This window comes from Homo sapiens, chromosome 6 (genome assembly GCF_000001405.40).
Source record: "Homo sapiens chromosome 6, GRCh38.p14 Primary Assembly".
In the NCBI taxonomy this organism is placed as follows: Eukaryota; Metazoa; Chordata; class Mammalia; order Primates; family Hominidae; genus Homo; species Homo sapiens.
In genome coordinates this window covers 28121604-28137406 of record NC_000006.12, presented here as the reverse complement: position 1 = coordinate 28137406, position 15803 = coordinate 28121604, and the positions used below count along the sequence as shown (strand labels likewise).

The following is a 15803-nucleotide window of genomic DNA, read 5'->3' as shown; positions in this document are numbered from 1 at the left end:
TACAGTCTGCGACCGCGAGACGTAAAGGGAAGAACGCTCCTCGGCACCCCTCCCCAGTCTATCCTAAAGTCAAGAACGTCCGAGCCCGCCTTTCTCCGGGGGCGGGCTGCAATAAAACAGCAAAATCCTCCATTCCCCATCAGCGGTCGATTGGGGGCTCTTTCGAAGCGGCAGCTCTGTAGGACCGCTCTTCTACCCCAAGATCCCTCGGCTTCGGCCCCCTAGGTGCCAGGGTCTGCGGGACCCCACGCTCAAAGCCGCCGGCCGGGGTCGACAACTGCAGAGAGGGTCGGGATAGGAAATTGCGGGTAGCGGCAGATGCGGGTCCCCAGGCATCCCGGAGGTTCCCACAGGTCTGCAGTGGGCCTACTTTGCGAAAAGGGCCCGGCTGCGCCGAGCCTCGTTCAAATCAGATGCCAGACAGTGTTTCTTGGGATCCATCCAAATAGGTCCCTTATTTCTCTTTGTGGGAGCCCTGGGCCTCCTTCCAGGCCGGAACCCAAGTGCTTAGGCAGCCGGGAAAGGCCGGTCCCCTTTTTCAGTTCTCTCGCGACCTCTAGCCACTTCCGGTTGCTAACGGTTCCCAAACAGCCCCCGAAAACGCTACGTGAGCTGGGCCCTGGGCCAGAGGCAGAAAACGGACGGAAGAAAAGGTCTGGCCGGTGAGTGTCAGAGTGAGGGCGAGATTGGGTGGTGTTCTCTGCCGGTGGATAGGCTCGACCGTCCGGTTTGGGATTGGGGTTAGGTATTAGGGAGCGGTTCAAAATTATGCTAATTGTTAAGATTACGAGTATTATTTAAAAAGATACACAACAGCAACAATACAATGAGCCCACGAAGATCAAATGCCAGTTAACTGATTTAAGCAGCTTTGATAGGAAGAAAATGCTGAATTTAATGCTAACAAAAAGATCTAAGTGCGCTGTTAGGGGCTAAGACTTTAACATTATGGGCCAGCCACTGTTCTAAACCCTTCACATTTGGTCACTCATTTAATTCCTACTTTATGAGGTAGATATCATTATAATACTGTTTTACAGATGGGGAACCTGAGGCACAGAGAGAAAAATGTATTAGCCAAGGTCATATAACTAGTAACTGGCAGAACAAAGATTCATACCCAGGCATTCTTCCTTTAAATTCTGTACTCTGGCCTTTCATTGATAACCTGGTTTTATCAGCTTAGGAAATTTGCTATCCAGATGGAAGTATAAGTTTCTACAGAGATATGTTATTGCAGCAGTGTTCTGAATCTCATCGGGTTTGTTGGCAATTTGCCTTTCAACAAAGGGTTTTTTTTTTTTTTTTTGATAAGGGTGGCTTCCACAGAGATTTAAGGAGAACAATAAAAATTTTCATTTTAATAAATAAGCCCCATTTCAACGTCCCTTCTCCTGTATCATTCCTCTGATTCTTCTCTGTCGTTATTTGTTTCTATTAGGTTAAATCATTTTACATTTCTGGTATTTAACCATTTTGACCCACAAAAACAGGGATTTCATTTGTTTAACCTAATACAGAAACATCTTTTCAAGCAGAATTTAGGAATCTACAACAATGAGCAAGATTATATTTTCATCTCCAAAATGTACGTTAAGTCTGTTTGTTTCTCTTTATATCCACTGTGAACCCATGGTCCATGCCACTACCTTCTTTCACTTGGGTTACTACAGTAGCCTCTGGACTGATTTCCTTACTTCTGCTCTTTTCTCATTCTTGCCTCTTTAAGGAGCCAGAATGATCTTTTCTAAACAAACATTGGATTATGTTCCTCCCTTCTAGTAGTTCCCCATCACGTTTAGAATACACATCCTGGCCCCTGTTCACCTCTCTAACCTAATCTTGTGTCACCTTCCCCTTAATCCAGTGCTTTCAACACGTGGCCTTTTTCAGTTCCTGTAACACACCAAATTCATCCCTATTCAGAGACTTTGCATTACCTCTCCCTTTCGTGTGGAATGGTTTTCTGCAGAACTGAAGGTCAGTTCTATCTAATAAATAGGAATATAATGGGATTCACCTATGTAATTTAAAACATTCTTATTAATAGCCATATTAAAAATGTAAAAAGACAGGTGAAATTATCTTTAGTTTAAACCATCATATCCAAAATATTACTATATCAACATCTAATCAATATAAAAATTATTAATGAAATATCCTATATTCCATTTTTTGAAAGCCAGTGTATTTATACTTATTGGACATCTCAATTCACATATTTTCATAAATAATCTATATTGAGATTACATAAAATTTAAAATAAAAAAATAGATTCACATATCCAAATTATTTCAAACATACTTAAAAGTTATCTAGTGAATTATGAGTTTTAAAGTTTAATTAAAATTAAAAATTTAGTTCCTCAGTTGCAGAGCCAAATGTACCTCGTGGCTACTACACTGGACAGCACAGATTTAGATCAAGGATAAAATGTCTATATTCATGATTGGGTCAAGGGGCAAAGAAGAAAATTGCACCAGAAGTGTGGCAAGGAGGGAAGGGGAAGGTCTGCAAAAATGCAGTGTAAGCTGTTTATGCAAGTCACATTTAAGTCACATTACTAGTCCTCACTAGTAAATGAGGTAAGGCTTTCTAAAGTAGACTACTTTTTAGCATCAAGGCTGCATAGATTTTAGGTATGTTGGGAATAATTTTCTGGGGTAGGAAAAGGGTCCAGTAGTGCTGGTCACATGTAGCATTTCTTTCTTTCTTTTTTTTTTTTTTTTTTTTGAGATGGAGTTTCTGCTCTTGTTGCCCAGGCTGGAGTATAATGGCACGATGATCTCGGCTCACCGCAACCTCCGCCTCCTGGGTTCAAGCAATTTTCCTGCCTCAGCTTCCTGAGTAGCTGGGATTACAGGCATGCACCACCAGGCCTGGCTAATTTTGTATTGTTAGTAGAGACCCTGACCATGATGGTCGGGATGGTCTGGAACTCCCGACCTCAGATGATCCACCCACCTCGGCCTCCCAAAGTGCTGGGATTACAGGCTTGAGCCACTGTGCCCGGCCACATGTAGCATTTCTAAGTAGAATTTTATTGTGTATGATGTGGAAGAGTCGTAGAAATCTGATTATTTTCCTATAGAGCAGGGGTTCTCAACTGGGGGTGATTTTGCCTCTCAGGGGACATTTGCCTCACTCAGCCTGCCCACCAAATTGCCTGGAGACATTTTTGGATATCACAAGTGGGAAGTGCTAGTGACATCTAGTGGGTAGACGCCAGGGATACTGCTAAACATCCTACAGTGCAGAGGACAGCCCCTACATCAAAGAATTGTCTGGCCCAGAATGTCAATAGAAATAGTTTCTCAAGGTTGAGAAACCTTGCTCTAGAGGATCTGAATAAGAAAGACTGACATACCCACTCTTTTAAAACCTCAGCCTAACTCCCTTGTGATATTACCATGGGAAAAACAGGTTGTTTTGAAGCATTTCAGTTTCCATTTGTTTCCACTGTTGATGGATTTTGTGATCAGACTAAAATAGAATAATTTCATGCTCAAGATGAGAATGTAGACCATTTAATAAAGATAATATAGTGTGTGCTGTACACGTAAGACTCAAAGCACCTTGGGATCAGGAGCTGGTCTTTTTACCTTTATATGGCTTGTATCATATGATCCACTGTCTCCAACAATTGATGCCAATATATTAGAATCACTTGTCTATCTTTCCTATCTCCATCCCTTGTTTTATAGTTGTTCCTCTTTTCATCCTTTTCTTTTCATCAAATTATTATCTTTTCATCCCTTTCTCATTTTCCCCCTCTTCATCAATACCCACTGATACCTCCTATAGACCCTCCCTCAACACTCATCTATTTCTTCCATTCATACCTGTTGACACCCTTACTTAGAATTGCCAGTTCACTACCAACCCATCTGTGTCTGAGAGAGCTGTCCCCCATATTCCCTATAGCTGTCTGTTGTAATTACTGTCTTGTTAGTCCACGAAACTACAAAATATAAATTCTTGCCTCCTCCCTCAGAAAAAAAAAACCCTCCAAAAAGATATGAAGAACAATAACACATTTGCTTTTGACACAACTCTCTGAGGAACTGCTTTCCATGTTCAGGTTTTTTTTTTGTTTTGTTTTGTATTTTTTTTTTTCAGACCAGGTGCTGTCCATTCAGGATAGCTCTCTGCTAGAACTGATAGTGTCCAACATATTACACCTCCTCTTCCAAGAAGTGTGGCTGTGATTGAGCTGTGTTCTTTCCAACTAGTTGCACTCCCACCAGTTTCTTCTGTGGGTTTCTACATGCTTACTAAGACATTGCCTGCATCTCCAGAGTACCAGCAACTACTTAGATTTTCTTTGACCTCATGCCTCTTTTGCCTTTTGCCTGCAGTTATCCTAGATCCCACTGACTGTTCTTCTCTTACCTACATCATTCTAGGCTGTCTCTGGCCCCATGTCTTTATGTCCCTCCCTGACTCTTACCATTACCCTTCTGGTTAACATTAGACCAAACCTGTGGTGGGCACTGTGGTGGCAATTTGGAATCAACATAAAACCTAAAAAGGGTACAATGGTTATAGTGCTCCAGACTACTCTTCACTCAGCCTTTAAGGGTGCAGGACTCTAAGACTAGAACAGTTCTTTGTACATAATAGGTATTCAAAACTACTAGCTGAACGGAATGTTCTGTCATATATAGCAGGAGTCCCCAAGTCCCTACCGTGGCCAGGAAAGCAGGAGGTGAGGGGCCAGTGAGCAAGCAAAGCTGAGCTCTACCTCCTGTCAGATGAGCAGTGGGATTAGATTCTCACAGGATCGCAAACCCTATCGTGAACTGCACATGCGAGGGATCTAGGTTGCGCTTTCCTTATGAGAATCTAATGATAAATGAAACAATACCCCCTTCCCTATCCTTGGAAAAATTGTCTTTCACGAGACCAGTCCCTGGTTCCAGAAAGGTTGGGGACTGCTCATACAGAGGATAAAGGAAAATCAGTCTGTCATGTGTTTACCAATTTTAGGAAACCTAATCTTAGGATAGCCAAAATCATCTTTCTTACCATTGCAGAAGCCTCCCTAAATTCAAGGATCAGAAACATGAGTTTCCCCTTTAAAGACTCTGAGCAGTTTCTAAGCATTGTAGTGTTTCTCAGAAAGACTAAAGGTAAAAGGGGAAAAGCCATTATTCAGAAAGCACCTAACTTTATTTTTAAAATAAGGATGTTTCTAATACTAATACTAAATATTTCTTACTTTACTTTTCTCTTCATGACCATTAAAGAAAATCCTTTCTTTGAGTGTTTCAAATACTTTGAAATATTACTCAGGTAAATATAGTAAGTTATAAAACAAGTATTCGTGTGAAACCTGACATTTAAAAGATGTGTTGATGTAAGATACTCAAAGTAAATATACATTTTTTTAAAGGACCATTATGTTAAAGGGACATAAAAGCTCAGTTTATCTTTAGGGCATTATGAGAAATACCTTAAGATTCATTTTCTTGGCTGGGCATGGTGGCTCATGCCTGTAATCCCAGCACTTTGGGAGGAGGATGGGAGGATTGTTTGAGGCCAGGAATTCGATACTAGCCTGAGTAACATAGTCAGACCCTATCTCAAAAAAAAAAAAAAAAATCCAGATATGGTGGTGTGCACTTGTAGTCCCAGCTATTTGGAAGGCTGAGGTGGGAGGATTGCTGGAGCCCAGGAGTTCAAGGCTGCAGCCAGGAGTTCAAGGCTGCAGTGAGGTATGATTGTGCCACTGTACTCCGGCCTGGACAATGGAGCAAGACTCTTTCTTTCTTTATTATTATTTTTAAAAGATTCATCTTCCTACAGTTATAGACATAAAAATGATTCTTATAGTTTTCCTGATCTTAAACACAATGATAAAGCAGTTGTTCTTAATAAATATCTTCAATTGAAATATCTTAATTGAAAACAAGAGATTTGAAGAGATTAGATCACTTCTTTCCTGATTGTTTTGGTGATCCTTATTCCTAGAACTAAGTAAAGAACCAGAGCTCTGCTCTTGGCAGTTTGATTGGTGGTGTGAATTTGAATGTGCAAGGCCTATGGCCACAATTCCTATCATGCTATAAGATTCTCAAATTAGAGATGTGGCCAGGTGTGGTGGCTCACACCTTTAATCCCAGCACTTTGAGAGGATGAGGCGGGCGGATCACTTGAGTTTGAGACCAGCCTGGCTGACATGGCAAAATCCTGATAAAAGTACAAAAATTAGCCAGGCATGGTGATGCATGCCTGTAATCTCAGCTACTCAGGAGGCTGAGGCAGGAGAATCGCTTGAACCCGGGAGGTGGAGGTTGCAGTGAACAGAGGATCACTCCAGCCTGGGCAAAAAAAAGAAAAAAAAAAAAAAAGGTGTGTATCTGTGCTGTCCAATATAGTGGCCACTAACATGTAGCTATGAGCACTTGAAATGTGAGGAACTGAATTTTCCATTTTATTTGAGTTAATGTGGGTACTGGCCACCAATCTGGACAAACTGGACCAAGTTAGACCAACCCCTTCCTATCTCCCTCAGTTTAAAATAACCTGAAATCCAGAAAAGAAGTTATATCTAGTTATAGATTCCTTCCTCTCCCCAGCAGCTCCTAATGATCACAGACTGCCTCCTCCTCCATTTTGTTTTCCTCAGCCTTTTTTTCTTCTTTTTGAGATAAGGTCTTGCTCTTGCCTAGGCTGGGGTGCAGTGGTGCGATCACATCTCACGATAGCCTTGAACTCCTGGGTTCAAGTGATCTTCCCACCTCAGCCTCCTAAATAGTTGGGTGGAACTACAGGTGTGTGCCACCATGCCTAGCTAATTTTTCTTAAGTTTCTGTAGAGGTGGTGTCTCGCTGTGTTGACCAGGCTGGCCTCCTGTCTTCTGATGGCTTATTCTTTATCATTGGCAAACAAAAATTTCCAAAAAATAATCATACTCCCCATTTTAAGATAAAAAAGGGATGTTGAGGCTATTATATGAGTAATGGTGGAAAACAAATAATTAGCATTGTTTTATATCTTAATCTCAAAAGTAGTTTTCATCAGTTTTAACTTGTCGAAACATACCTGGTAAGCCTCTATTATCATCTGTACTTTACAGAAGGGGAAATGAAGGCAGAGAAAAATGTGTATGTCTTGTCTTGCCTAAAGTCAGACACTGAATGGTCAACTAAAAAGGACCTGGAGCAGAGACAGAATTAATTCACTGTCTTTCATCCAGGAACCATTGATCTTGGGCTGCAGGTGAGCAGTGTTGTCAGTGGACAAGGCTTTCTGAAAGAATTCTTGATTCCCCCTCAAAACTGAACTAATTTGAAATAAAAGGATATTTTACTCAGGTAGATTCTTTGGTCCAGAGAAGTTTAATGATGACTGAAGCTTTGACCACATTGAGGAAACTCAAGGTTTCTAAAATAGATTCTTTGATAACTAGTTAGGCCTGAGTGTCCAAAGAACTTTTGATATTACTGCTATATTAGTAGAGTTTATTTGCGGTATGAATTCTTTGATGTCTAATAAGAGCTGAACTTACTCGGAAAGGCCTTCCACACTCATCACATTCATAGGGTTTTTCACCTGTGTGGATTCTCTGATGCTGAATAAGACCTGTGCGCCCACTGAAGTCTTTCCCACATTCTTTACATTTATAGGGTTTTACTCCCGTGTGTACTCTATGATGTCCAATGAGATGTGAGCGCTGAATGAAGGCTTTTCCACACTCATCACATTTATAGGGCTTCTCTCCCGTGTGAGTTCTCCTGTGTTTACTAAGGTCTGAGCTATGACTGAAACTTTTCCCACATTCATCACATTTATATCGTCTTCTTTCCCTCTGTTGCCATTCTGATCTGCCCTCATTTTCAATAATATCTTTGGACTTAGGATGCTGAGGAGTATCTTTGTTCAGTCTGTCATTTATCTCCCCAAGGAATTCCTTGTCTTTGGGCATATCTTCCTTCTGGAACAACTCTTCATTCTTAGTCCTAGTTTTATCACCTGTAACAAACAAACAGTACACAAACGGGTCCTATTCTATGTTTGAGAAGCAAACAGCCTATGGAAGAAAGAACATGTAAATGTTATAAATGTGTTATAAAATAATGAGAAGTCACATACAACACACATATCAAATATTTGGTACCATCTTATTTTTGGTATCATCATAGCACAGAGTCACAATGTAAGGAAGAAATTAAGAATTAAGGAAGATATCAGCAGAACAAGTTGTTTGAGAGTAGATTAAGAGAAGAAAAGGCAAAAATAGAGCTCAAGAGATAAGTTAGCAATACTATGTAAGGGAAGACGGATAAATGAGGGGACTATAGATATGCCAAGGATAATTAGAGAGACTGGAGAACAGAGATGGGGAGGGAGGTAAAAGTTTGGGAGAAACATGCAGGGGCCTGAAACATAGGTGGCAAGTAAAATCAAGTAAAAGTGAATGGAGAGGATAATAGGATTTGGGGTCTGAGAGGAATATAGTGAATAGGAACCATCCAAGGAGGGGAGTGTGTTTGAAGGATAATAATTAGCTGGAAGCAGGAAGCATGACAACATGCAGGTCAGAGTAAATAGAGGAATGAAAAGGAATAGGAAATGACAATGGATAGTCAGTGTATATGCTGGGTAAAATATTTTTTCCTGAAACTGATGTCCTTGCTGTCATCACCTCCTGTCTAAATCCTAGCTCGGTGGTTTCTAACCTTATTGTGCATCAGAATCAGCTGGATCGTTTATTAAAACACACATTGCTGATTTTCCCTCCTACAGACGACTCCTTATCAGAATCAAACTCAGAGCAGTTGCTATTCTTAGAATGTTATTCTCTGATGCTATTTTTTTTCACCGTTTCTTTGCCTAAAATGTCACCCCCTTTCAGCTCCCACCTGACCTTCTCAGCTCAAGCAAGCCTACTCTGTGATATTTTTGCAGGTGCACCTCAGGGATAGCTATCCTCTTTGTAGTTCACGGTGTATCTCTAGTATGGTAATTATTACACTATTGTAAGTGCTCACTCTCCTGCTTCTTGAAGAGAAGTAATGTAAGTGTCTAACCTTTGGATTCCTTACATTTAGTATAGTGTCTGGCATATAGCTGCTATTTAGTAAATACTCAGTGAAAGATGAATGAATCAAAAGACAGGTTGAGCCAGGCACAGTGGCTCATGCTTATAATCCTAGCACTTTGGGAAGCTAAGGTGGAAAGATCACTTGAGCCCAGGAGTTTGAGACAAGCCTGGGAAACATAGTGAGACCTCTCCTCTAAAAAAAATAAAATAAAATAAAAATAAAAAAGAACAGATAGGAGGTTCTTAACGTCACTTCTAAAGCCAAACAGTAACCAGCACTCCACTCCTAGAGTTAAAGCACTGAAAGGCTTCTTTACATTACATATAATTAAATGTCATCCTTTCCAGATAGCAGCTAGGAACATCTTAGCTCAAAATAATTTTTCAGATTAGACAAATCATCTGGTAGGGATCCTACAGGATGGGATATTGGTAAAACTTAAGTAGTAAGAATACAAAATAGGCTAGAGTATAAGGAACTACCCGGAGAGGCATTATTAGACATGGGAGCCTCTAGAGAAAGGGTGGTGAGCACTGAAAAAGGTAGGGTTTGGATAAACTGGAATTTAAAATTCACCAGCTTTTTAATGTAGCCTGGGGATACACTAGACACCCTAGTTTGTAATTAGGGAGCTGGGATGGGGGATAAAACCCAATTAATTTGACATGCAGATAAAAACAAGAAACTTTGCTGTATTGACTGATCATTGTCTCTCTTCCCTACTTCTTTCATCATGGGAATGTGTTATAGATTGACTTGTCTTCCTCCACAAATTCATACATTGAAGCCCTAACCCCTTTCAAACATTACTGTATATGACGATAGGGCTTTAATGAAGTAATTAAGGTTGAATAAGGTCATAAGGGTAGGACCCTAATCCAATAGTACTAGTGTCCTTACAAGAGGAAGAGACACCAGGAGTGTGTGTGTACAGAGAAAGGCCATGTGAAGACACAGCAAGAGGTCTGCAAGCCAAGGAGAGTAGCCTTACTAGTAACTAACCCTGTAAGCATATTCATCTTGGACTTCCAGCCTCCAGAACTGTGAGAAAATAAATTTCTGTTAAGCCACCCATAAGTCCATGGTATTCTGTATGACAGGCCTCGCTGACTAATACAGAGTGCCATAAGTTCTCCTGTCTCAAAATGGAAATTTAGGGGGATTTGGAACAAGAATCATTAGATAACAACAGAATTATAAGGATATTAAATAAACTCCATCCTCATCCCTTGGGCCAAATAGCAGCTTTTTTGTCTAGTGAGAAACTAAAATATAACTCCATCATGGAGCAAGGGTAAGAGGAGGATAAAATTGTCCATAGTGAGGTGGAGGACAAGCAGGAAATCTTTAAAAGGAGAAGATGAAAGTGAGAAAGTTTTCCTCTAACCTAAGGAAGTACCTCTACCCTCATACACTCAGAACTGTTCCTGCTTACCATTCCTTTGTGGTTTCCCAGCTTCCTGCTCCAGCTGGGTCTTTTTGGGATGGAGCTGGACAGTCAGTGATTCATATGGCCTTCCCAAGGGGGCCAACTTGTCCATGAGTATGTCCCGTCTTTCTGAATTGCCTGGGACCTAGGGAAAATGAGGTGTGTAAGGTGAATTTTATGGAAACTTAAGTAACTTCAGATAAAACAATCAAATGAAACATCTTCCAGGGACATAGAAAGGGGGGACAAATTCTCATTTCATTGTAAATGGCAATAATGGCTAGGAGAAGGAACAGAGGCTAATCTCTACAATTCAGGACACTAGAGAGTAAAATTCAACGTCTCTTCTTTCATTGATCTGCAGAAGTCCAGGATCAGAGCACTGGGATTTGGAAGGTAGCTTAAAAATCATCTAGCCCAACTTCCAGCAAATGGGAGCATTTCTTCTATAACCATGCTATCCGATATGGTAGTCACTAGCAAAATGTGGTTACTGAGTACTTAAAATATGGCTAGTACAAATGAGATAAGCTAAATGTAAGATACATACCAAATTTTGAAAATTTAAAGCACAGATATCTAAAATACCTCATTAAAAATATTGATTACATGATTAAATATTGTGGGCTAAATAAAATATATATTTCACCTTTTTTTTTAATGTGGCTACTAGAAAATTTAAATACATATACAGCTTGCATTATATTTCTGTTGGACAGTCCTATTCTGCAATATCCTTGACATCTACTTGAATCTCCGCTTGAATACCTATATGGAAAGGGAGTTTCTTATGGGGTAGCCTATTTTATTTATGGGTATCTATGAATGGCAGAAAATTATTTCTTTTCCTCTGATACCTGATTGCCTTTTGGTAACTTCCCACTGATCCTAGCCTTCCAAACAGGCATAGAATCAGTCTAGTGACTCTCCTCTCTTTACCCAGCCACACTTTAATTATTTGACATAGGTAGTCAGGTCCCTTCCTATGCCTTGTTCTTTAGAGGATAAATATTTTCAGATGTTCTTTCATATGCCTTTTGCTTTGGCTCCATCCATATCCCCTGATCACTCACAGCCAGATGACTGCCCCTTCACACCTGCTTTCCAGGTTCATCAAGCTCTCTCTCCAGATCCTCCAGTACCGTCACTGCCTCCTCTCCAGTCTCTGGATGGTGTGCACGCACCCATGCTTGCAGGTCTTTAGGAAGAATGCTCAGGAACTGTTCTAGCACCAGCAGGTCTAAAATCTGCTCCTTGGTGTGGCATTCTGGCCTCAGCCACTGACGGCAGAGCTCCCACAGCTGGGTAAGAGCTTCACGGGGTCCAGGTGCATCCTGATAGCAGAGCTTCCTGAAGTGTTGTCTATAGAGTTCCCTCCTGTGAGGACTGCACTTTTGTGAGCTGGAATCCTGTCCCCAGTAATGGTCCTCTGCCTTAATTATCAGAAGTCCTTTTTGGTCCTCAGGTTCCAGGGCTGTGGTCATTCTGGGCTTTGCCAGGAGATTTATCCTCTATCTGGGATTGAGTCAAAGAGAATCTCTTAGAATCCTGCCTCAGAGACACTCCTAAGGCATAAAAAGTTGTTACCATAGAGAAATTACAAAAATTTCTGTGAACATAAACACATCATAATGAAGCCAAGCCACCAGAAGTCAATCAGAGAAAACAGTCTTATAGGAAGCTGAAACAAAACAAAACAAAACAAAACAAAAAACAGTGACGCAGGGATATGATTTGAATCTGTGCTCTATTGTGTAACTTAGAGGAAGTTATTTATCTGGACTAGAACTACAGATCCTCAGGTACAATTCTCATGTGTGTTACAGGGTTGATATACAGATTACATGAGAACGTATGCAACGTCCCTGGCATGGCAGCGGGCACTAGTAAGCACTAAATAAACGCCAAGTATTATTAACGGCTTTGTTAAAAGGCTCTTCATTCTGTTACCATGAGATGCACGGGCCAGCTTGTGCCCCCAGGATTCACTGGTTATAGGATATGTGTGCCAACCCTGGAAGGGGATCAGACAGATGCCTCTGCAGAGGAACCCGCAACCAGTGTCCCCCTTCCACCCATCCTCTCCCGGAAGGCTGGGCCAAATCCTCTCCTGTAGATCTGTTGGGGGGCGGAGGGAGGGACAGGAGTGTTACACTCTGCCCGCGACAGGGAGGTGTGGGGAGGGTGTTGCTGCTGACCACAGCTGCGTCTTGTCCCCTTTTCTCCACCTGGGAGCCGGGAGACACTCACCTTACGCGCAGGGAGGAACAGGTGCAACAGCTAGCGTCCTTTGGACAGCCCCGAACAAAGACTAGACTCAAAGACACCAATCGGCGCCCGGCCGCTTCAGCCGGGCACTTCCGGGCCGCTCTAGGAAGCTTCGCCTCTGTGGCAGCTTGAGTGCTTGCCTCCTCGGCCCTAGCCAGTGGAGGACCCGGCTTTTACGCCTCGTATTGATGGGATTGCGGGATCTGCGAGCAAGTCTTATTTGTACTTCTTTAAAACGTTTTTCGGTTTAATTATTGAGTAATATGGATAAGTAATGCATTCACATACATTTATTAAAAAGAGTAAATGTCCCCCAGCGTCTAGTTTGACAATATTTTTCGTGACTTGTATATCCTTCCGTAGATATATTACACCGTTATAGATTGTCCGCGCTTTTTCCCCTCTGCACAAATAGTAGCACTTCTGTACCTTTCTTATTTTTCTTTTTACCAGGTGGTCTTGGTAAAGGCTGTACATAAGTGTTTCCTTGATCTTGCTCTTTTTTAAACAACTGCACGGTATTCAACTGTGTATTATGTTCTATAATTTGTTAATAAGTACCCCATTGGTGGTCATGAGGTTGTTTCCAATTCTTCTTTTTCAAACATTGCTGCAATAACTTACTGTGAACTCACATCATTTTTCATGTGTAAGGATATATCCATAGTCTGTATGTCTAGAAAGGGAATTACTACAGCATAGAATAGGGAAATTTGTACTTTTGTTAATGCCAAATCACCAATCATAGGATCTACTAGCAGTATTCTTATTTACCTATACTTGTCAACACAGTGTTATAAAATATTTTGATCTTTGCCAAATTGATGGGTGAAAAATGCTCTTAGTTTTTTACTCCCTCTTCTCCTTTCTTACACAAATATTGATTTATCTACTATGCCAGGCACTATTGTGGAAGCTGGAACTAATTTTGAGCAAAACAATGCCCTTCCTTTCATGGAATTTATAATCTTGTGTGTGTGTGTATGTGTGTGTGTGTGTGTGTGTGTGCTGGGGAGGCAGGCAATAAACCAAAAAATATACATAGTGTATAGAGAGTGGATATCAGTTCTAAGGAGAAAATAAAGGAAATAGGGAATTTGGGGTGAGAATGAAGTGATGCAATTTAAATAGGATATTCATGGAGGACCTGACTAGGAAATTGACATTTGAGCAAAGATTGAGGGAGCTGAGGGAATGGGCCATCAGGGATAAAGATGTTTCAGGGAGAGGGATAACAAATGCAAAAGCCTGGAGTGGAGTGTGTTTTAAGTATTTTGGGCAAAGGAAGGGTGCTTGTTTTTCTGGAGCTGAGTGAGCAAAAGAGCGTTGGGTGGAGAGATAGTGAGAGCCTTGGGTGAGTGCAAGGGTATTTTTACTCTAAAATGATAAAATGATAAGCTACTCAGTTTATTTTCTTTTCTCTTTTCTTTCCTTTTCCTTTGTTTTAGGAGATGGGTCTCACTCTGTCACCCAGACTGGAGTGCAGTGAGTGGTGCGATCATAGCTTACTGCAGCCTGAAACTCCTGGGCTCAAGTGATCTTCTCGCCTCAGCCTCCTGAGTAGCTGGAGCTACAGGTGTGAGCTACCCAGCATGGCTCATTTGAGATTTCTGAGTAGAGAAGTAACATGATTAAACTTGGGTATTGAGATTATTATTTTGGCTGCTATGTTAACAGTAGACTTGAATGTGAAGGGGTTGGGCAAGGGCAGAAGCAGGGAGACAGGTTGGAAAGTTGGAGTGGGAAGGGCCTTTTTAAGAATAACACAAACCCCTAAAGACATAAAACTGAAAAGGCCATGGAGGAAAAGATAAATGAAACTGGCCTTGTAAAATTGAAATATTTGAATGAAAAAAGTAAAAATAAAATATAAACTAAAAGTAAAATATGCCACACATCTAAAAGACACAGCTGATTTTCCTGATATACAAAGACCTTTTATCTTACCAAAAAATAAAAATATGAACAAGCCAATAGAAAAATAGACAAAGTACTTAACCTGCATGCATTTATTGTCAGGCCTCTGACAATATGATACTAAGCCATCATAGCCCCTGTGACCGCCACGTATACATCCAGATGACCTGGAGCAACTGAAGAACCACAAAAGATGGCATTCCACCATTGAGATTTGTTCCTGCCCCACCCCAACTAATCAATCGACCTTGTGACATTCCCCCTGCCCCCGACAGTGAGTCTCATGATCTCCCCACCCAGCACCTTGGCACCTTGTGACCCCCGCCCCTGCCCACAAGAGATAACCACCTTTAACTGTAATTTTCCACTACCTACCCAAATCCTATAAAACTGCCCCACCCCTATCTCCCTTTGCTGACTCTCTTTTTGGACTCAGCCCACTTGCACCCAAGTGAAATAAACAGCCTTGTTGCTCACACAAAGCCTGTTGGTGGACTCTCTTCACACAGACTCACTTGACATTTATAGAACACAAAATTAAGAATAGTGAATATGAAAAGGTTCACTAATAAGAATTTAAACAAAACAAGAAAGATTTTTAAGATTGCTAAAGACAAACGATTTATAATATTCAGTGTTAGGAGGTGTGTGGATATACAGGCATACTTAGTTTTACATTTTTAGAAGGTAAGACTTATTTAGAAGGTAAGAAGTTGTCCATACCCCTTGATTCAACAACTTAGCTTCTTGGAATTATCCATATAGAAATGCTTACATAAATGTTTGAACGTATGTACAAAGAAGCACTATTTATTTAAATTGGGAAACTTGAATGCCTAACATTTGGAATTTAAATTTTTATATGTCTATTCATTAAAATACCACCCAGTTTTTAGAAACTAAGAGATGCTAAAGGTATATTGAGTAAAATAAAAAGTTACAAAAGATATGGTATGATTGTTTTTGTGAAAATTATTATCTTAAAAATGTTGGCCGGGCAAGGTGGCTCACACCTGTAATCCTAGCACTTTGGGAGGCCGAGGCAGGCGGATCACGAGGTCAAGAGATCGAGACCATCCTGGCCAACACGGTGAAAGCCCATCTGTACTAAAAATACAAAAATTAGCTGGGCATGGTGG

At 40.9% G+C, this 15803-nt stretch overlaps 1 protein-coding gene and 1 long non-coding RNA gene across 10 annotated transcripts, besides 1 other annotated feature; one reads left to right on the top strand and one right to left on the bottom strand.

The window, feature by feature from the left end:
- On the top strand, window positions 91–15612 carry ZSCAN16-AS1 (ZSCAN16 antisense RNA 1). Of its 2 annotated transcripts, NR_103455.1 has the most exons (3): window positions 91–662; window positions 11588–11784; window positions 14196–15612. It is a non-coding gene; the product is annotated as a ZSCAN16 antisense RNA 1 (long non-coding RNA). The 2 variants fall into 2 exon arrangements; NR_103456.1 differs by lacking the exon at window positions 11588–11784.
- On the bottom strand, window positions 7325–12798 carry ZSCAN16 (zinc finger and SCAN domain containing 16). Of its 8 annotated transcripts, none has more exons than XM_047419378.1 (4): window positions 12730–12798; window positions 11577–12160; window positions 10486–10624; window positions 7325–8035 (listed from the first exon to the last, which is right to left on the bottom strand). In XM_047419378.1, exons 2-4 carry the CDS (start codon window positions 11961–11963, stop codon window positions 7974–7976), a joined length of 588 nt encoding a protein of 195 aa, XP_047275334.1. In that variant the 5' UTR covers window positions 11964–12160; window positions 12730–12798; the 3' UTR covers window positions 7325–7973. The 8 variants fall into 8 exon arrangements, with proteins under 8 accessions (XP_047275334.1, XP_016866813.1, XP_047275335.1 ...); XM_017011324.2 differs by having other exon boundaries at window positions 7325–7977; XM_047419379.1 differs by having other exon boundaries at window positions 11577–12044.
- Window positions 12653–13154: an enhancer, noted in NCBI's record as "H3K27ac hESC enhancer chr6:28092031-28092532 (GRCh37/hg19 assembly coordinates)". NCBI's record gives its function as "activates a minimal SCP1, AML or CMV promoter by ChIP-STARR-seq in primed H9 embryonic stem cells {active_cell/tissue: H9 hESC(primed)}" and the evidence as "EXISTENCE:reporter gene assay evidence [ECO:0000049][PMID:30033119]".
- Window positions 15613–15803: the final 191 nt, after the last annotated feature.